General features: G+C 43.4%; 1 protein-coding gene across 10 annotated transcripts in view; it reads right to left on the reverse strand.

The window, feature by feature from the left end:
- Nucleotides 1-15724, reverse strand: part of CREBBP (CREB binding lysine acetyltransferase) — a 155660-nt gene that overhangs the window by 26039 nt on the left and 113897 nt on the right. For all 10 annotated transcript variants that reach the window (XM_047433625.1, XM_047433624.1, XM_005255124.5 and 7 more), the window contains 4 exons: nucleotides 7762-7880; nucleotides 6717-6956; nucleotides 6196-6284; nucleotides 634-714 (listed from right to left, as the gene is read on the reverse strand). In XM_047433625.1, the coding sequence (XP_047289581.1) occupies nucleotides 634-714; nucleotides 6196-6284; nucleotides 6717-6956; nucleotides 7762-7880 (529 nt within the window). The remainder of the gene's footprint in view (nucleotides 1-633; nucleotides 715-6195; nucleotides 6285-6716; nucleotides 6957-7761; nucleotides 7881-15724) is intronic.

The following is a 15724-nucleotide window of genomic DNA, read 5'->3' on the forward strand; positions in this document are numbered from 1 at the left end:
CCAAAATGGAACCACTAGGAAAAAGCAATTATTTTAGAAAAAAAGACAGACCAAGGTCAAGAGAGACCAGTGGTCTCCAGTGGTAGGCCACAGTACCACCGCCTTGAATGATAAAGGCAGAGGTGGCGCTGTGGTTCAGCCAAAACACATTTTTCAGTGTAAATGTATACGTATACACATATTCAAATTAAATGTGATCATAGTTAATATGAAACAAACCCCACAACACAACAGACTGTAATCCCAGCACTTTGGAAGGCCCAGGCAGGTGGATTGTGCTTCAGTCTAGGAGTTTGAGACTAGCCTGGGCAACATGGCGAGACCTCGTCTCTACAAAAAATACAAAAAAATTAGCTGGGTATGGTGGCGTGCACCTGTAATCCCAGCTACTTGAGAGGCTGAGAAAGGAGGATCGCTTGAACCCAAGTGGTCAAGGCTGCAGTGAGTCGAGATAGTGCCACTGCACACCACCCAGGTGACAGAATGAGAACCTGTCTCAAAAACAAAAAACCAAAAAACATTGCAAGGAAGTCAAAATGGCACCGGTACCTTCCTTATAGTCATTGGTAAGAGGAAAAAACAATTTAAGGTCACCCTCCCTCACCCCAGAGAAAATGACAGGACGGTACTTACGTCTGGGGCTGTGAAGGGTCGTCACCCAGGGTCACATTCTCGCCCTGGATCTCTGTGAAACACTTCTCACAGAAATGATACCTGTCAGCAAGAAGGCCATACTTGGGTGAACTGGTCCATCATAACACACAGCCACCCAAGCAACGAAGCCACCAATCAGAGCAGGGCAGAGCACCACGACGAAGGGGGGGCGTTGTTGGTTGATTGATGGGTCAGTGAGGACAATGAAAGGAACAGGGGGCAGGTGGGGAAAGGCAGGATTAGAGAACAGGGAAGGGAACAAATAGCACAGACACAGAGGTAAGACGCAGACACCAAGACAACACAGAGCAGAAAGCCAAGGCAAAGCATTGATTAGCATTCGGTCTCATTGCACACATCACAGGCCATCATCACTAACAACGACAGGCTCGGTCCGGCTCCAAGAGGCAAATGTTTTCAAGGAGTTGTTAATACTAGAATTGCATGGAGCCCAAATTTAGGAATCTGAATTTTGTTCTTACTCAGAGAAAGTCAAATATAACTCCAGGGTTTGAGATGGAAAAATTTACTTGAACAAAACAGTCTGACAAAAGGCCTTAAAAAAGCAATTTAAACTGAAATAGCTTTATTTTTCAAAATGGAAAATTTATGCTTGACAGCAATTCAGAGATTTTATTTCCGGTATTAAGCCAGATCTTTAAATGTATGAAAATGCTGAGCACCCAGAACTGATTTTAATTTTTTCCTGTTTTTTTTTTTTTCATGTTAATCATTCAGTTAATTGTGTTACAATACAAATGAAACCAAATCCATATTCTAGACAAACATTTAACATAAATGCAGTCAGGGTCAAAGACTTTCCACCCATTTATCAATATGAATATACAGAGTAAGAAATGTGATATATTGTATAAGAAATACAATATATGTAAATCCATGAACAATCTTTGAAAATTCAATTCTAAGCTTTGATTTGACATTTTTGGTACTGGGACCAATCATTCATCAATCTGAAAGACTTAGCGAATGACTGTTCTGACTTGGGGGCAATCCAAGTTAAGTGAATTTAGAGTTAATCTTTAAAGAACAATCTGCATTTGAGAAATTATCCATCACCCCAATTTCTTGTAAGACAATATAGAGCCTGGGCTCAAGCTATCAAATACAAACAATTAAAATAAAAACTACTAAATGTTTGGAAAGGACATAAATGAGAAATCAACAGAAATGCAGGCTGATGCTGCATAAAACAAGATGAGTACACAAGAATACCGTAAGAATAAACAAGCGGGTGGAGGTGGATCACACAAGCGAGAAGAATGAGTGTCAGGTAGCGACGGCAGCACGAATGCGGTTTAGTGCTCAAAACTATGTCTACAAGATGCCAGGAAGGATTAGTATTAAAAACAGTGCGACAGGACTCGAGCGCCAGGCTGAACCACCAAGTGCAGAATGGGACGCGGCAGCTGCAGTCTCACTCACTTGCGCACTCACACGGCTACAGAAGACTGAGGCGTGGGCCACCGTGTGGCCAGTTCACTACCACTAGGACAGGTCCCCCACAAGTCCCAAATCTAATCTTAATTCAATACATTGAGCATTTTGTCTGTTGTATTTCACTAACCACACACATACAGCAAATTTTAAAGCATACAACTTCAGTGCATGCACATCTCAAGATGAGCCAATTTTTTGTGTTTGGTTGATGAGGAACATGACAGATTCACTAGATTAATGAAGGTTTCTTGCTGGGACTAATTTATTTGGCACTAACTCAATTAATAAATTATGTCAGGATTTAACACTCTGACAGGCAAGAGGCAGATTAATGTTTTTCTTTAAATATGTATTTTTTTTTTCCCTGAATGAACTATAGCAATATTCTGGCCATTCACTATTTTGTAAATATCCTAAAATCCGGTATGAAGAAGAACTTCCGTGTGCAGGAGGGTATGGTCATCACTGGCAAGAAGGAATTAAAGTACAGAAACTATAAACCAATTCAGTGGCAACCAAAACAATACACAAAAAAGACATTCCCTCAATCCCCAATACTTCCCTTTTATAAGTAAAACTCCTAATTGAGTGCCCCATTCATGATACAATCAAACACGCAGAACTATGGCCAACTAGAAGGGACCGTTCAAGACATTCTGAAATGAAACTCCCACCGTAATCACAGGTGAGTCTAAATGGTTTTAAAATCCTGGAGAAATCCTTTGCTTTTATTTAAGGACAGCAAGCCCAGCAACATCCAGGAAACAAGAACCATAAACCCATCCTTCCCCACCGAGGAAAGTGACACTGAGGGAGGCACTGGTGGTGGAATGGCAGCCCATGCAGTGGCTGGGAAACTGAGGCTCTTCCTGTATGACTGACTCCCACCCTGGAAAATCCCAGGATCAGAACCGGGGAGGCAAAGCATTATCAACAGACTCCTTGTCTGCCTCAAAACTGCTGGAGAAATGGACAATTTAGCCTGTTCGTGTTTAAGAAGGGGAGGAAGAGGGGCCCGTGGCTTCACTTTATTACTGTTCTGAGAGAGGAAGACAGCACACAGAAAAGGGAACAGTCACCCCCAACTAGTAAAATCAGCTAAAGCAACCCTGGCAGTCTATGAGTGATAGATGTTATTGCCAGACTGCCCCTACCTTCTTACCTAGTCCACACTTTATTCTCCCTGGAAACACATAAAGATTTAGAAATTCACTTTTCAACTTAAGCGCCTAGATGACATTTTGCCTGGTGTGAAGGAAGCAGCTTGATGAATATGGAATTGCAAAGGAGAAATACTTCACATAATCCAGTGATGATGCATTTCAGGGTTGCTATAGTACCATGGAACTGCATAGTTTATCTGTAAGGGTAATTTAATATATGGACTAAGTTTTCAAATGCAGATTGTTTTAAGTACCATATCAGTACATATCACTGGGATATCTATAGATAATACTTATATTATCTACAGATACTAACTGGGAAAGCTAAAGAACAGTTTTTCCAACATGAGTTACTTTCAAATTTGCAAAGTATGAAAACAAGTGAAAATGTAATCATACGCTCACTTATATATTAGGGTTTCACTTGTTTAAATGATCTGTAGGATTTTTTATTGTTCTAAGTGCCCAGTTTAGGACTACAAGTGCCAAGACAATTATTCATAAGAACACTGCAGTGTTCATAAATAGTCAAAGTTGAAAATAAAAACATAAGCAGTTAAAGTATTTGTTACAGAATCAGGCCACTGCTTTCTCAGGATGATAATATGCTAACCTACTCAGTCAGATACACTGTTCTAGAGAGCATGCCTGTGATCGTCTGAGGAACGCTACGCCTACGCTTTAAAAATTATCACTAATAAAATGGAACTCCTTTATTTGCATTTCCACTCTTAAAAATACATTACTTTTGTTTAGTAAAAATGAAGTTCTATACAGAAATAAAATTAGACGTTTCAGAACTTTCATGCCATCAATGACTTTATATGCCATCAATGACTTCATATGCCATCAATGACTCTTTGGTCCTACCAATTCCATTTAACTTTAATTGCTCTCAATGTAAAAGACCAAAATCTGTGCAAATCAGCAAAGGCAGGGTACCAACGGACCCAGGAACAGGCCCCACAACACTTTAGAGACAGTGGTAAACAATCTACCTTCCTTCTAGACCAAAACTGTGTTGGGCAACGTAGCAGGGGTGGCATTTTTCTGGGTGTAGTTAATATTAACCTTTCTCTGAAGATATCATTAACTTTATTTTGCTTGGCACAAATGGTTTTTAAAGTGCATTCCTATTCATTATTTCATCATTGAGGACCTGACAAAATGAGGCTGCGAGGGAAGACGCTATTGTCTGTATCACAGACAAGGCTAAGCTTAATACATTAATACATCATGGGGTCTGCTGAAGGTCATGGGGCTAAAAGCATAAAAGGAGTGGCCAGAACTTCCCAAAGAGCAGCAAGTCACTATGGGAGAGATCCCATTAGGAAGGGGCTATGGTATCATTTTAAACTTGGTCATAAAATGTTTCTATTGATAAAGGGGAAGTTGAGATGGAAATCAGACTCTGAATGTTAAACTATTTTCAGCAGGACAATTGCACACGCTGCACTTCTAGCAGGGATGCAGTTTAGGGTCTGTCCTTCCCCCTTGCACCAGTGTTTCACTACACTGAACAGTATTAGGAATAAGCAGGCCAGGCTTATTCCTAATAGAAAAGGCTTAGGAACCTTTTTTGAGACATTTTTGTGTCAAAAGGATTTTTTTTAAAAATAGGATTTTGATGGGAGTTATTACTTATCTTGAATATGGATTTTTAAAAAAAACATAGAAGAATTAAAACACATAACCATAAAACTCCAAAATTTTCAGGCCTGTGAACAAATAACAAAAAGCCTTCTGTCTTCTTTGAAGTATAGGACATAATTACTCTGACCAAATGAGAGTAAAATAATAAAAAACGCCAAACCCCACTGTTGACGCTTATTATTTGAACCTAAAGACAAAGAACAGGCACAAACCTCTATCTTGGCCACAGAGAATCCAGCTGCTGGCTCATAAAATAGAGGCAACGTCACAGTTTGAGCAAGATTCCTGACCTGTGCCTCCACGCATGGTGCGCTCACACTGCAGCGGCACATGGACACTTACACGCTGCGGTACAGATAAGCTGACTTCTCAAACAACTCCAAAACTACGCAAGCTGTATTTTGTGGGAAACCACAACAAAAAATACTATTCTCACTCTCTACCTATTTTAAGACAGGAGATCTATTCTTTAGCCATCTTCATATTCCAAAAGAATGGCAAGTATTTCTTAAGCAGATCCACCACTCACAAAACCCTGAAATGGCCATCTTATAATAGGAGGCAACAGAATCACATTCTTGAACTCAATTAAAACACCAGATCTCATTTTGTATCGTGCTGCTAGTGTAAAATTTAAAAATAAAGATCATGGACCCTTTTCCTCTGCCTTATAGGAAGCAGCACTCATGCAAGTCTTTCCATGAGACTGATCAGGCCAAATTACCAGGCAAATATTTGCAGGTAGAATAGTAAAATCCACATTTTCTACTCTATGAACATCTTGAAAAAGGCATGTCAACCTTTATCAGAGTTACTCTCAACTTCAGACGCTTGCTTCTAGGGCTGCGTTTTAGAACGGGCAGGGCTGAAGAAATAACGTACCTAATCCAAGTAGTACGGCAAGACTTGGCTCTGAGGTTACAGTTTTTACACTGTAAAAGTACGCTTTATAACTAACTAAGAGGCCATGGGCCTAAGTGACTAACAAGACACTGAAACCGAGCCACTTTTTCTCTTTTTTTTTCTTTTCAAATAGAGATGGGGGTTTCTCTATGTCGCCAAGGCTGATAACATAACTCCTGGGCTCAAGTGATTCTCCCACCTCAGCCTCCCAAAGTGCTGGGATTACAGGCGTGAGCCACCACACCCGGCCTGAAATTGGGCCACTTTTTATTGGAACTTCAGGAAAGAAATAATGTACACAGACTATAACCAGATGAACGTGCCTTGCCCTAAGACATAATGCAGGATGCTGCTTGACGCTTACCTATTCTGATAGCTGTAGTAGGCAGCATCGCGAGGAATGGTACACAGCTGCTTCCCATAGCAGCACAAAGTCTGTGGGGAAAACTCATACTGCAAAAATAAAGGAGAAATACTTTTATATAAAAATACATTCCATTTACTGTCTTATAATGTTCTAGTCTACTATAGAGACTAGTAAATTATTTCTGTTAGTATATTAGACAGTTTTCTAACAATTTTAGTAGCTTTAAAGACATTTTGGGATAGCATGTGATAGAACTGGCTCTAAGAGACATTCACTACAGACAGGTACCACAGGCAGAGAGGGGCAGCCAGAAACGCTTCCCCATGGCCTCCCTCAGTAAGCGCCTGTACACCCAGCTCTGATCACCCATCACATCGCTTCAGGCATCAACTGTGTCACCAGACAGCAGATTGCACATATGCACTCCCAGTATACAGGCGTGGTCTCATATTAGTATAACACCCCTCTGGCTGGATTAACCAGGAAAATTCACTTTCCGGAAAAACTTAAAACTGTACCTTGCGTCCACAGCAATATCCAAGGGACTGCATGACAGGGTCAATTTCCTGCTCAAAGACCTCTGCAAGCTTACTGCAAAACTTATAGACTCGGGATGTCTTGCGATTATAGAGCCAGGCATTGTTGAACATGAGCCAGACGTCGTCCACGTACTGCCAGGGCTCTTGGTATTGCCCTGTGTCCAGCTTCCGCTTGATGGTGGAGAGGTCCATGGGATTCTTTACGATGTCAAAATAGTCCTTAAAAAAAAAAAAATGGTCTCAGTATAGGGAATCCCCCAATATCCAAATGCCAGTCTCATCTGGCAGCTTTGTTTTAAAATAATAGAAACAGAAAGCACCAAAATAACTTCCATTCCCAACAGTAAGAAATAGGAAATGAAAAGAAAATAACCTCTGACGCAACTGATTTTACTCACTAAAAGTGTAATTAGTATTTTCAGGTATGATCACATTATAATACTCCAAAGGCAAAAGTAAAGAAAAATTGTTAAAAGATACTTCTAACAAAAAATTTTAAAAATAGATCTTTAATCCACTGAATTAAAATAGTGAACAAGTTTATCAAACAGTGTGTATTTCTAGATATTCACTCTTGATCCTAGCAAGCAAAATGAAATTACAAGACAAATATAAACACAAAGCTAGTAATGACTGCTACATAGAATCGGCTGGGTCCCCATGGCCTTTGCAAGGCTATCCAGGAATATAAAAGAGAGAAGCCCAAATATTTTTTTACAGTTCATGTTCACAAATTCTTTCAGACAAAAGTGACACAAGGCCCCAAATATAAAGTGAAGTCTCAGGGGCATGTGCTTCCCTTGCTTCAGTGCACCCCTCCTCCAAGGACCAGGGCTTCATGAACAGGTGAAATCAAACAAAATAAACACTTTCACTGATAACTGTTAACAGACAACAGTTTTTTATATTAGGAGAACAATCTTCAAGGCAGGGGGATTATTTTATCTAATTTCAAGAGATAAAACAATGGACACTCAGAAGTCACACCAGCAAAGTTATAATCTATTTTTATGAATTAACTTACTGGAATTCCGAGGAGCTGGGGATCTACAGGCTGCCGGAAAGGTAATGACTCTGGGTCCTGTCGATACAGTGCTTCTAGGGTTGGCATGAGGGCCTGGCGTAACTCCTCTGGTTTAAAGACTGCAGAGAAAACATCAAGAAAAGACACTTTGTAAAAGGTGCTCAGATCCCTCCTACCTCACATTTAAAACGGAATCCTGGCTGCTGTGACATCCCAGCCACGATGCTCCTAAGGCACTCGAGGGGCTCTCGTCCATCACCGTTAAGGACTAAAGCTTCTGAAAACACACTAGTGTCAGAACTGTGTTCAGCTTGTGAGGCAAAATACAACACTGGGAAGTTTGCTTCTTCCATGAAAGGTTTCCAACATTAAAAACTTGGCTGAAAAAGAAAGTAAAGCTAACTCCCAAATCTGTCTCATTCATCAAACTGGGTGGCAAATAAAGCCATTTCAGGCTGGGCATGGTGGCTCACACATGTAATCCCAGCACTTTGGGAGACTGAGGAGGGCGGATCACCTGAGGTCAGGAGTTCAAGACCAGCCTGACCAACGTAGTGAAACCTCGTCTCTACTAAACACAAATTTAGCCTGGTGTGTGTCGGGGGTTCCTATAAGCCCCGCTACTCGAGAGGGTGAGAAAGGAAAATTGCTTGAACCCAGGAGACGGAGGTTGCAGTGAGCCGAGATTGCGCCACTGCACTCCAGCCTGGACAACAAGAGCAAAACTCTGTCTCCAAAAAAAAAAGACCATTTCATTGGAAGGGACCTTAAAAGATCCTCTGAGTAAAGTTTTTTATCCTTGGCTAAATTAAATTCAGGCCACTGGAGACAAACGGTTTTGAATCTCATAAATGTAAACAGTAATAGAGCTACAAAATAAAGCATTTTTATAAAAAGTTCCATATTGCTTACTCCCACATTTACTAATGCCAATTTCTCCAACCCCTCAGACACCTTACTGCCTACTACACTCTCTGTTTTCACTAATACAAACATAAAATACTGGCTGCCAAATACATTCAAGATGGTACATTCATACAAACCCTCAACAAGTATGGGAACAGGTGCCAGGGAAGCTGTTCGGTGTGGGAGGCCGGCCAGTCAGCAGTCAGCGTGTCACGACCCCACCTGGCTCATGTTCACTCACACAGAGAAGAAACTGGAGGCAAAGATGTCTCAGGCATTCTGATGCCTTAGCTTATAAGTGATGTATTTTTTCTTGGTGTTCTTTAATTTTTAATTAAATTATTATTTTTGAGACAAGGTCGCACTCTGTTGCCCAGGTTGGGGGACAATGGCATCATCTCAGCTCACTGCAGCTTCAACCTCCCAGGCTCAAGCCATCCTCCTGCCTCAGCCTCAGGAGTAACTGGGACTACAGGTGTGTGCTACCATGCCTGACTCATTTTTAAATTTTTTATGGAGATGAGGTCTCACTATGTTGTCCAAGCTGGTCTCGAACTCCTGAGCTCAAGCGCTCCCCCTGCCTCAGCCTTCCAAAGTGCTGAGATTACGGGCACTAAGCTATCATGCCCAGGTTTTTTTTTTTTTTTTTTTTTTTTTTTTTGAGACAGAGTCTTGCTCTGTCACCCAGGCTGGAGTGCAGTGGTACGATCTCGGCTCACAGCAACCTCAGCCTCCTGAATTCAAGTGATTCTCCTGCCTCAGCCTCCCGAGTAGCTGGGATTACAGGTGCCCACCACCACGCCCAGCTGATTTTTGTAATTTTTAGTAGAAGATGGGTTTCATCATGTTGGCCAGGTTGGTCTCAAACTCTTGATCTCAAATGATCTACCCGCCCTGGCCTTCCAAAGTGCTGGGATTACAGGCATGAGCCACTGTACCCAGCCATCATGCCCATCTCATTTTATATTTTTAGAGACAGAGTCTTGCTCCAACGCCCAGGCTGGAGGGCAATGTAGTGGCGCCATCATAGCCACTGTAGCTGCAAACTCCTGGGCTCAAGTGATCTTGTCATATCACTATGTTGCCCAGGCTGGTATTGAACTCTCGGCCTCAAGTGATTCTCCTGCCTCAGCCTCTCAAAGCAATAACATTATAGGTGTGAGCCACTGGGCCTGGTCTGTTTTTTGTATCTTGAAAAGATTTGTTTTTTTTGAGACGGAGTTTCACTCTTGTTGTCTAGGCTGGAGTGCAATGGCGTGATCTTGGCTCACTGCAATCTCCGCCTCCCGGGTTCAAGCGATTCTCCTGCCTCAGCCTTCCGAGTAGTTGGGATTACAGGCATGCACCACCACACCCAGCTAATTTTGTATTTTTAGTAGAGACTGGGTTTCTCCATGTTGGTCAGGCTGGTCTCGAACTCCTGACCTCAGGTGATGTGATCTGCTTGCCTCAGCCTCCCAAAGTGCTGGGATTACAGGTGTGAGCCACCATGCCCGGCTGAAAAGATTTCTTACAACAGGTAAGTGGTAAACTGTAATTTAAAAATCAGATTAAAATATGGTAAACATTTAAAGTTCCAGTTGGGAAGCGGCAAGCATCAGGTACATGGACCTGCCATCAATTCTGTGTGGGGTGGGGATGGTCTAACTTGACAAATTCTGGAAAGCGTCATCTGATTCCTAACTGGTGAAAGCAAAAGTTAAAAGTTGGAAGGAAAAACCCATGTGTTTAACAGGCTCACTTTAGAGATGAAAACAGGCGCACCAAGAACATGCCTCAGGGCTCATTTCCATCAAAGCCCAGGATACAGACTCTTGACCAACCTCCGCAGACACCGCCTCCTCTCCAGGGCACGTGGCTGCTTCAGACCTCTGACAGCAGCCTGAGGTCCGGGCAACCAGGTAAAAACCCCGACGCAGCACTCCCCACGCACACGGTCCCCAGCACTTGAAGGTGCAAAGGCCTGGTCCAGGGTGCAGACGTGCCCTTCACAGTGGGAAGCGTCGGAAACACACAGCCTTGCTTCCTACTAACTCCTTTCTTCTGTTTTATGCACAGACGAAGCAGCATTTGCTAGTCTTTGAATAACTTTTTATGAGAAAACAATTATGTAACAAATAGCCTTTTGATTTCTCTGAATGAGGGGTTGGCAAATTATGACCAAGAGGCCAAATGTGGCCAGCTGCTTGCTTTTCTGTATGGCCCAAGAGCTAACAATGGATTTCACATTGTTTAATGTTTGGCAGAAGAAAAAGAAAAGAATACTATTTCATGACATGTGAAAATCACACAAAATTCAAGTGTTAGTCTCCAAAAATACAGCTTTATTGGCACATAGCTGTGCTCATTCGTTTATATAGGATCTGTAGCTGCCTCCGTGCCACAGTGGCAGCACTGAGGAGTGGTAACAGAGGCCTCAGGACGCACAAAGCCCACAGCGTGGATCACTGGGCCTCTGCACGGAGAAGGCCTGCAGACCCTGTCACCGCCCCAGTGGTAATCGGGAGTGACAGGGCCTGAAACAAGTGTCACTTTGGTTGATCATTTATTCATTCATTAAATAACTATTCAAATTCCGTGCTGAGGAGAGCATTTTCTTTCCTTTTTTTTTTTTTTTTTTTTGAGATGGAGTCTCGCGCTGTCACCCAGGCTGGAGTGCAGTGGTGCAATCTCGGCCCCCAAAGTGCTGGGATTACAGGCGTGAGCCACGGTGCCTGGCCGAGGAGAGCATTTTCAGACTCCTGTCTTCACCAGCACCTTTCTGTAAGAAGATCCCATATGTGCAGAAGTGAAGTCAGGAGTGTATGTGAACTGCGCCGCTCCCCTCCTCTGGCCCGAGGACCTGCTCCACGCGGCAGGGCTGTTGCAGCGCACCAGCATCTCCCAAAAACGCGGCTCTCGAGCCCTTGGAGGCTGCTGTCTCATATCGCAGTCCCCAGCCCCTGTGACTACTGAAATTTTACCAAACGAATAATATTACAAAAAATAAAAAACTCAGTTCCTCGGTCACCCTGGTCACATTTTTATTTTTTTGAGACGGAGTCTTGCTCTGTCGCCCAGGCTGGAGTGCAGTGGCGCGATCTCGGCTCACTGCAAGCTCCGCCTCCCAGGTTCATGCCATTCTCCTGCCTCAGCCTCCCGAGTCGCTGGGACTACAGGCGCCTGTCACCATGGCCGGCTAATTTTTTGTACTTTTAGTAGAGACAGGGTTTCACTGTATTAGCCAGGATGGTCTCGATCTCCCGACCTCGTGATCCGCCCGCCTCGGCCTCCCAAAGTGCTGTGATTATAGGGGTGAGCCACCACGCCCGGCCACCCTGGTCACATTTTAGGTGCTCAAGTTATAGCACTGCCCTAGGCCCTTCTATGTGCTGTAAGATGAAAACTATTTCACCAAAACTGAAACCAATTTTTTTTTTTTTTTTGAGACGAGGTCTTCTGGAGTGCAGTAGCGTAATCACAGCCCACTGCATGCAAACTTGACCTCCTAGGCTCAAGCAACCCTCCTAATTCAGCCTCATGAGTAGCATGAGGGACTATAAGCATGCACCACCATAACCAGCTATTTTCTTATTTTTTTCTACAGAGACAGGGTCTCACCATGTTGCCCAGGCTGGTCTTGAACTCTGGGCCTCAAGTGATCTTCCCACCTCAGCCTCCAAAAGTGCTGGAGTTGCAGGTGTGAACCCCAAAGCCCAGCCTGAAACAATTTTGTTTTGAGACGAAGTTTCTCTCTTGTTGCCCAGGCTGGAGTGCAATGGCACGATCTCAGCTCACTGCAACCTCTGCCGCCTCCTGGGTTCAAGTGATTCTTCTGCCTCAGCCTCCTGAGTAGTTGGGATTACAGGCATGCGCCACCAGGCCCGACTAATTTTTGTATTTTTAGTAGAGACGGGGTTTCGCCATGTTGGCCAGGCTGGTCTGGAACTCCTGACCTCAGGTGATCCACCCGCCTCAGCTTCCCAAAGTGTTGGGATTACAGGTGTGAGCCACTGCGCCCGGCCTGAAACAATTTTTATAACACTAAATTATCATTTGCCTTTTGCACTATGTTGGACATCTGCACAGATGGGAAAAAAGCAATCTTTTTTTTTTTTTTTTTTGAGAAGGAGTCTCACTCTGTTGCCCAGGCTGGAGTGCAGTGGCATAATCTCGGCTCACTGCAGCCTCCACCTCCTGGGTTCAAGTGATTCTCCTGCCTCAGCCTTCCGAGTAGCTGGGACTACAGGCGCATGCTGCCACACCCAGCTAAAAAGCAAAAACAAAGGAAAAGAAAGCCAACATCACCAAACTCTACTGTTATCACACACACTGCTGCTGCTGTACAGTCACAAGAAAAAAAATACCAGCCATGCTTAAGAAAATTTGTTTAAAATTTTTCTTCTTTTTTTTGGGTAGAGATGGGTTCTTGCTATGTTGCCCAGGCTGGCTTGAACTCCTGGCCTCAAGTATTCCTCCTGCCTTAGCCTCCCAAAGTCCTTGGATTATAGGCATGAGCCACTGCTCCCAGCCAAGAAAAAATATTCTTTATTTTTAAGACAGGGTCTCACTCTCTCATCCAGGCTAGAACGCACTGGCACAATCATGGTTCACTACAGCCTCAACCTCCTGGGCTCAAGCAATCTTCCCACCTCAGCCTCCTGAGCCATTGGGACTACAGGTGCACCACCACACCTGGCTAATTTTTAAACTGTTTTGTAGAGACAGGGTCTCACTACGTTGCCCAGGCTGGTCTTGAACGCCTGGCCATAAGTAATCCTCCTGTGTTCGCCTCCCAAAGTGCTGGGATTATAGGTGGGAGCCACTGTGTCCACTCATTTCTTAATTAATTAATTTATTTTTGAGATAGGGCCTTGCTCTGTTGTCCAGGCTGGAGTCCAACAGTGGCATCACAGCTTGCTGCAGCCTTGGACCCCTGAGCTCAAGTGATCCTGCTGCCTCAGCCTCCTGAGTAGCCAGGACTACAGGCATGCACCACCACACTTGGCTGATTTTTAATTTTTTGTAGAGACAGGGTCTTACTATGTTGCCCAGGCTAGTCTTGAACTCCTGGCTTCAAGTGATCCTCCCACTTTGGCCTTCCAAAGTGCTGAGATTACAGATGTGAGCCACCACACCTGGCTGAAAAAATATTCTTGATGAGATAGTAAAAAGTATTCCTTGTATTAAATCTTAAGCGTTTGGTACATGTGTGTGGTTTTTTTTTTTGTTTTGTTTTTGTTTTTGTTTTTGTTTTTTGAGACGGCGTCTCGCTCTGTCTCCCAGGCTGGAGTGCAGTATCTCGGCTCACTACAAGCTCTGCCTCCTGGGTTCACACCATTCTCCTGCCTCAGCCTCCCGAGCAGCTGGGACTACAGGCGCCCGCCACCACGCCCGCATAATTTTTTGTATTTTGTTTAGTAGAGACGGGGTTTCACCGTATTAGCCAGGATGGTCCTGATCTGCTGACCTCGTGATCTGCCTGCCTTGGCCTCCGAAAGTGCGGGGATTACAGGTGTGAGGCACCGCGTCTGGCCGCCTGGTACATGTCTTTTATTCTGTGTGATGAAACATTCTGCCTATCTCCTCACACAGAATAAAAGATGTGCGCTGCATAGGCACAGTGGCCACATCAGGAGGCAGTACTTGGGCAAGTGTTGGAATTTACAGCTGAAGTAGCTGCTTGCCCTCGTGGAGCACATTAAAACTTTCAGGAATGACTGAGAGATAAGCTATAGTTACTAAGCTCTGGTTATATGTCAGACATTTTCTCAGAAATGAACAAAGAGGGCCAGTTACTTCAAGGACAACTGACAGTATTTGTTGCCAATGCTAAAATTTGGGCTTTCATAAAAAAATCAAATGCTTTGGAAAACTTGTACATGGGCTTCACAGCTTCTCAAAATTTATTATTAGTATTATTTTTTGAGACAGGGCCTCACTCTGTCACTTAGGCTGGAGTACAGTGACATGATCAAGGCTCAGTGCATCTTTGACCTCCCAGGCTCAGGTGATTCTCCCACCTCAACCTCTCGAGTAGCTGCAGCTACAGGCATGCACTACCATACCCAGCTAATTTTTTTTTAATAGAGATTAGGTTTCGCCATGTTGCCTAGGCTGCTCTCGAACTCCTGAGCTCCAGGCTAGAGTGCAGTGGTGCAATCATAGACCCTGAATTCCTGGGCTCAAGCAATCCTTCCCCCTCAGCCTCCCAAAATGCTGAGATTACGGGTGTGAGCCACCATGCACGCCCTGCTTTTCTAAGTTGGTAAGACTTGTTTGAAGAGACTGATGGTGGTATTAACAAATGTTGATTTTTTTTTGACACTGTATAGTGAAATATGTCAACATATGGAAAATCTGCAGAACTTAAGTGTCAATTGAAAAAAAAATCATGCAAGCACAAAAGATCCATTCCAAGTACAAGATGGATCAATGGATTCTAATGTCACAGACTATGAAAAATCCAGTGCTATAGATTCTGGTTCAATGTCGCAACTAACCTTTAAGAAACCTTCACTGGCTGAATTTTGGTATAGTATCAAAGAATATCCACAATCAGCTGAAAGGGCTACGAAAATACTTCTCCCTTTACCAACTACAGGATTTTCTTCATACACTTCAACCAAAATAACCAATCACAACACAGTAAATGCAGAGGCAGATACCCTTAATAACGCCACTATTCTTACTTATTTTTGTTTTGGAAAAATTGTTTTTCATATAAATGTTTTCTATGGGTGCCATGTAACAGACTATTTTAAATGAACTAAATATTTAAAAATTTTTCTCTTTTTTTTTTTCAGACAACAATCTCACTTTTGTCTCCCAGGCTAGAGTGCAGTGATGTGATCTGGGCTCACTGCAGCCTCAAACTCCTAGGCTCAGGCAATCCTGCCGCTTCCGCTTCTCGAGCAGCTAGAATTATAGGCGTGCACCACCACACTTAGCTAGTTTTATTTTAGTTTTGTAGAGATGGAGCCTTGCTATGTTGCTCAGGCTGGTTTTGAACTCCCAGCATCAAGCAAGCCTCCCATCTCAGCCTCCCAAAGTGCTGGGATTACAGGTGTAAGCCACT

Source organism: Homo sapiens, chromosome 16 (assembly GCF_000001405.40).
Source record: "Homo sapiens chromosome 16, GRCh38.p14 Primary Assembly".
Lineage (NCBI taxonomy): Eukaryota > Metazoa > Chordata > Mammalia > Primates > Hominidae > Homo > Homo sapiens.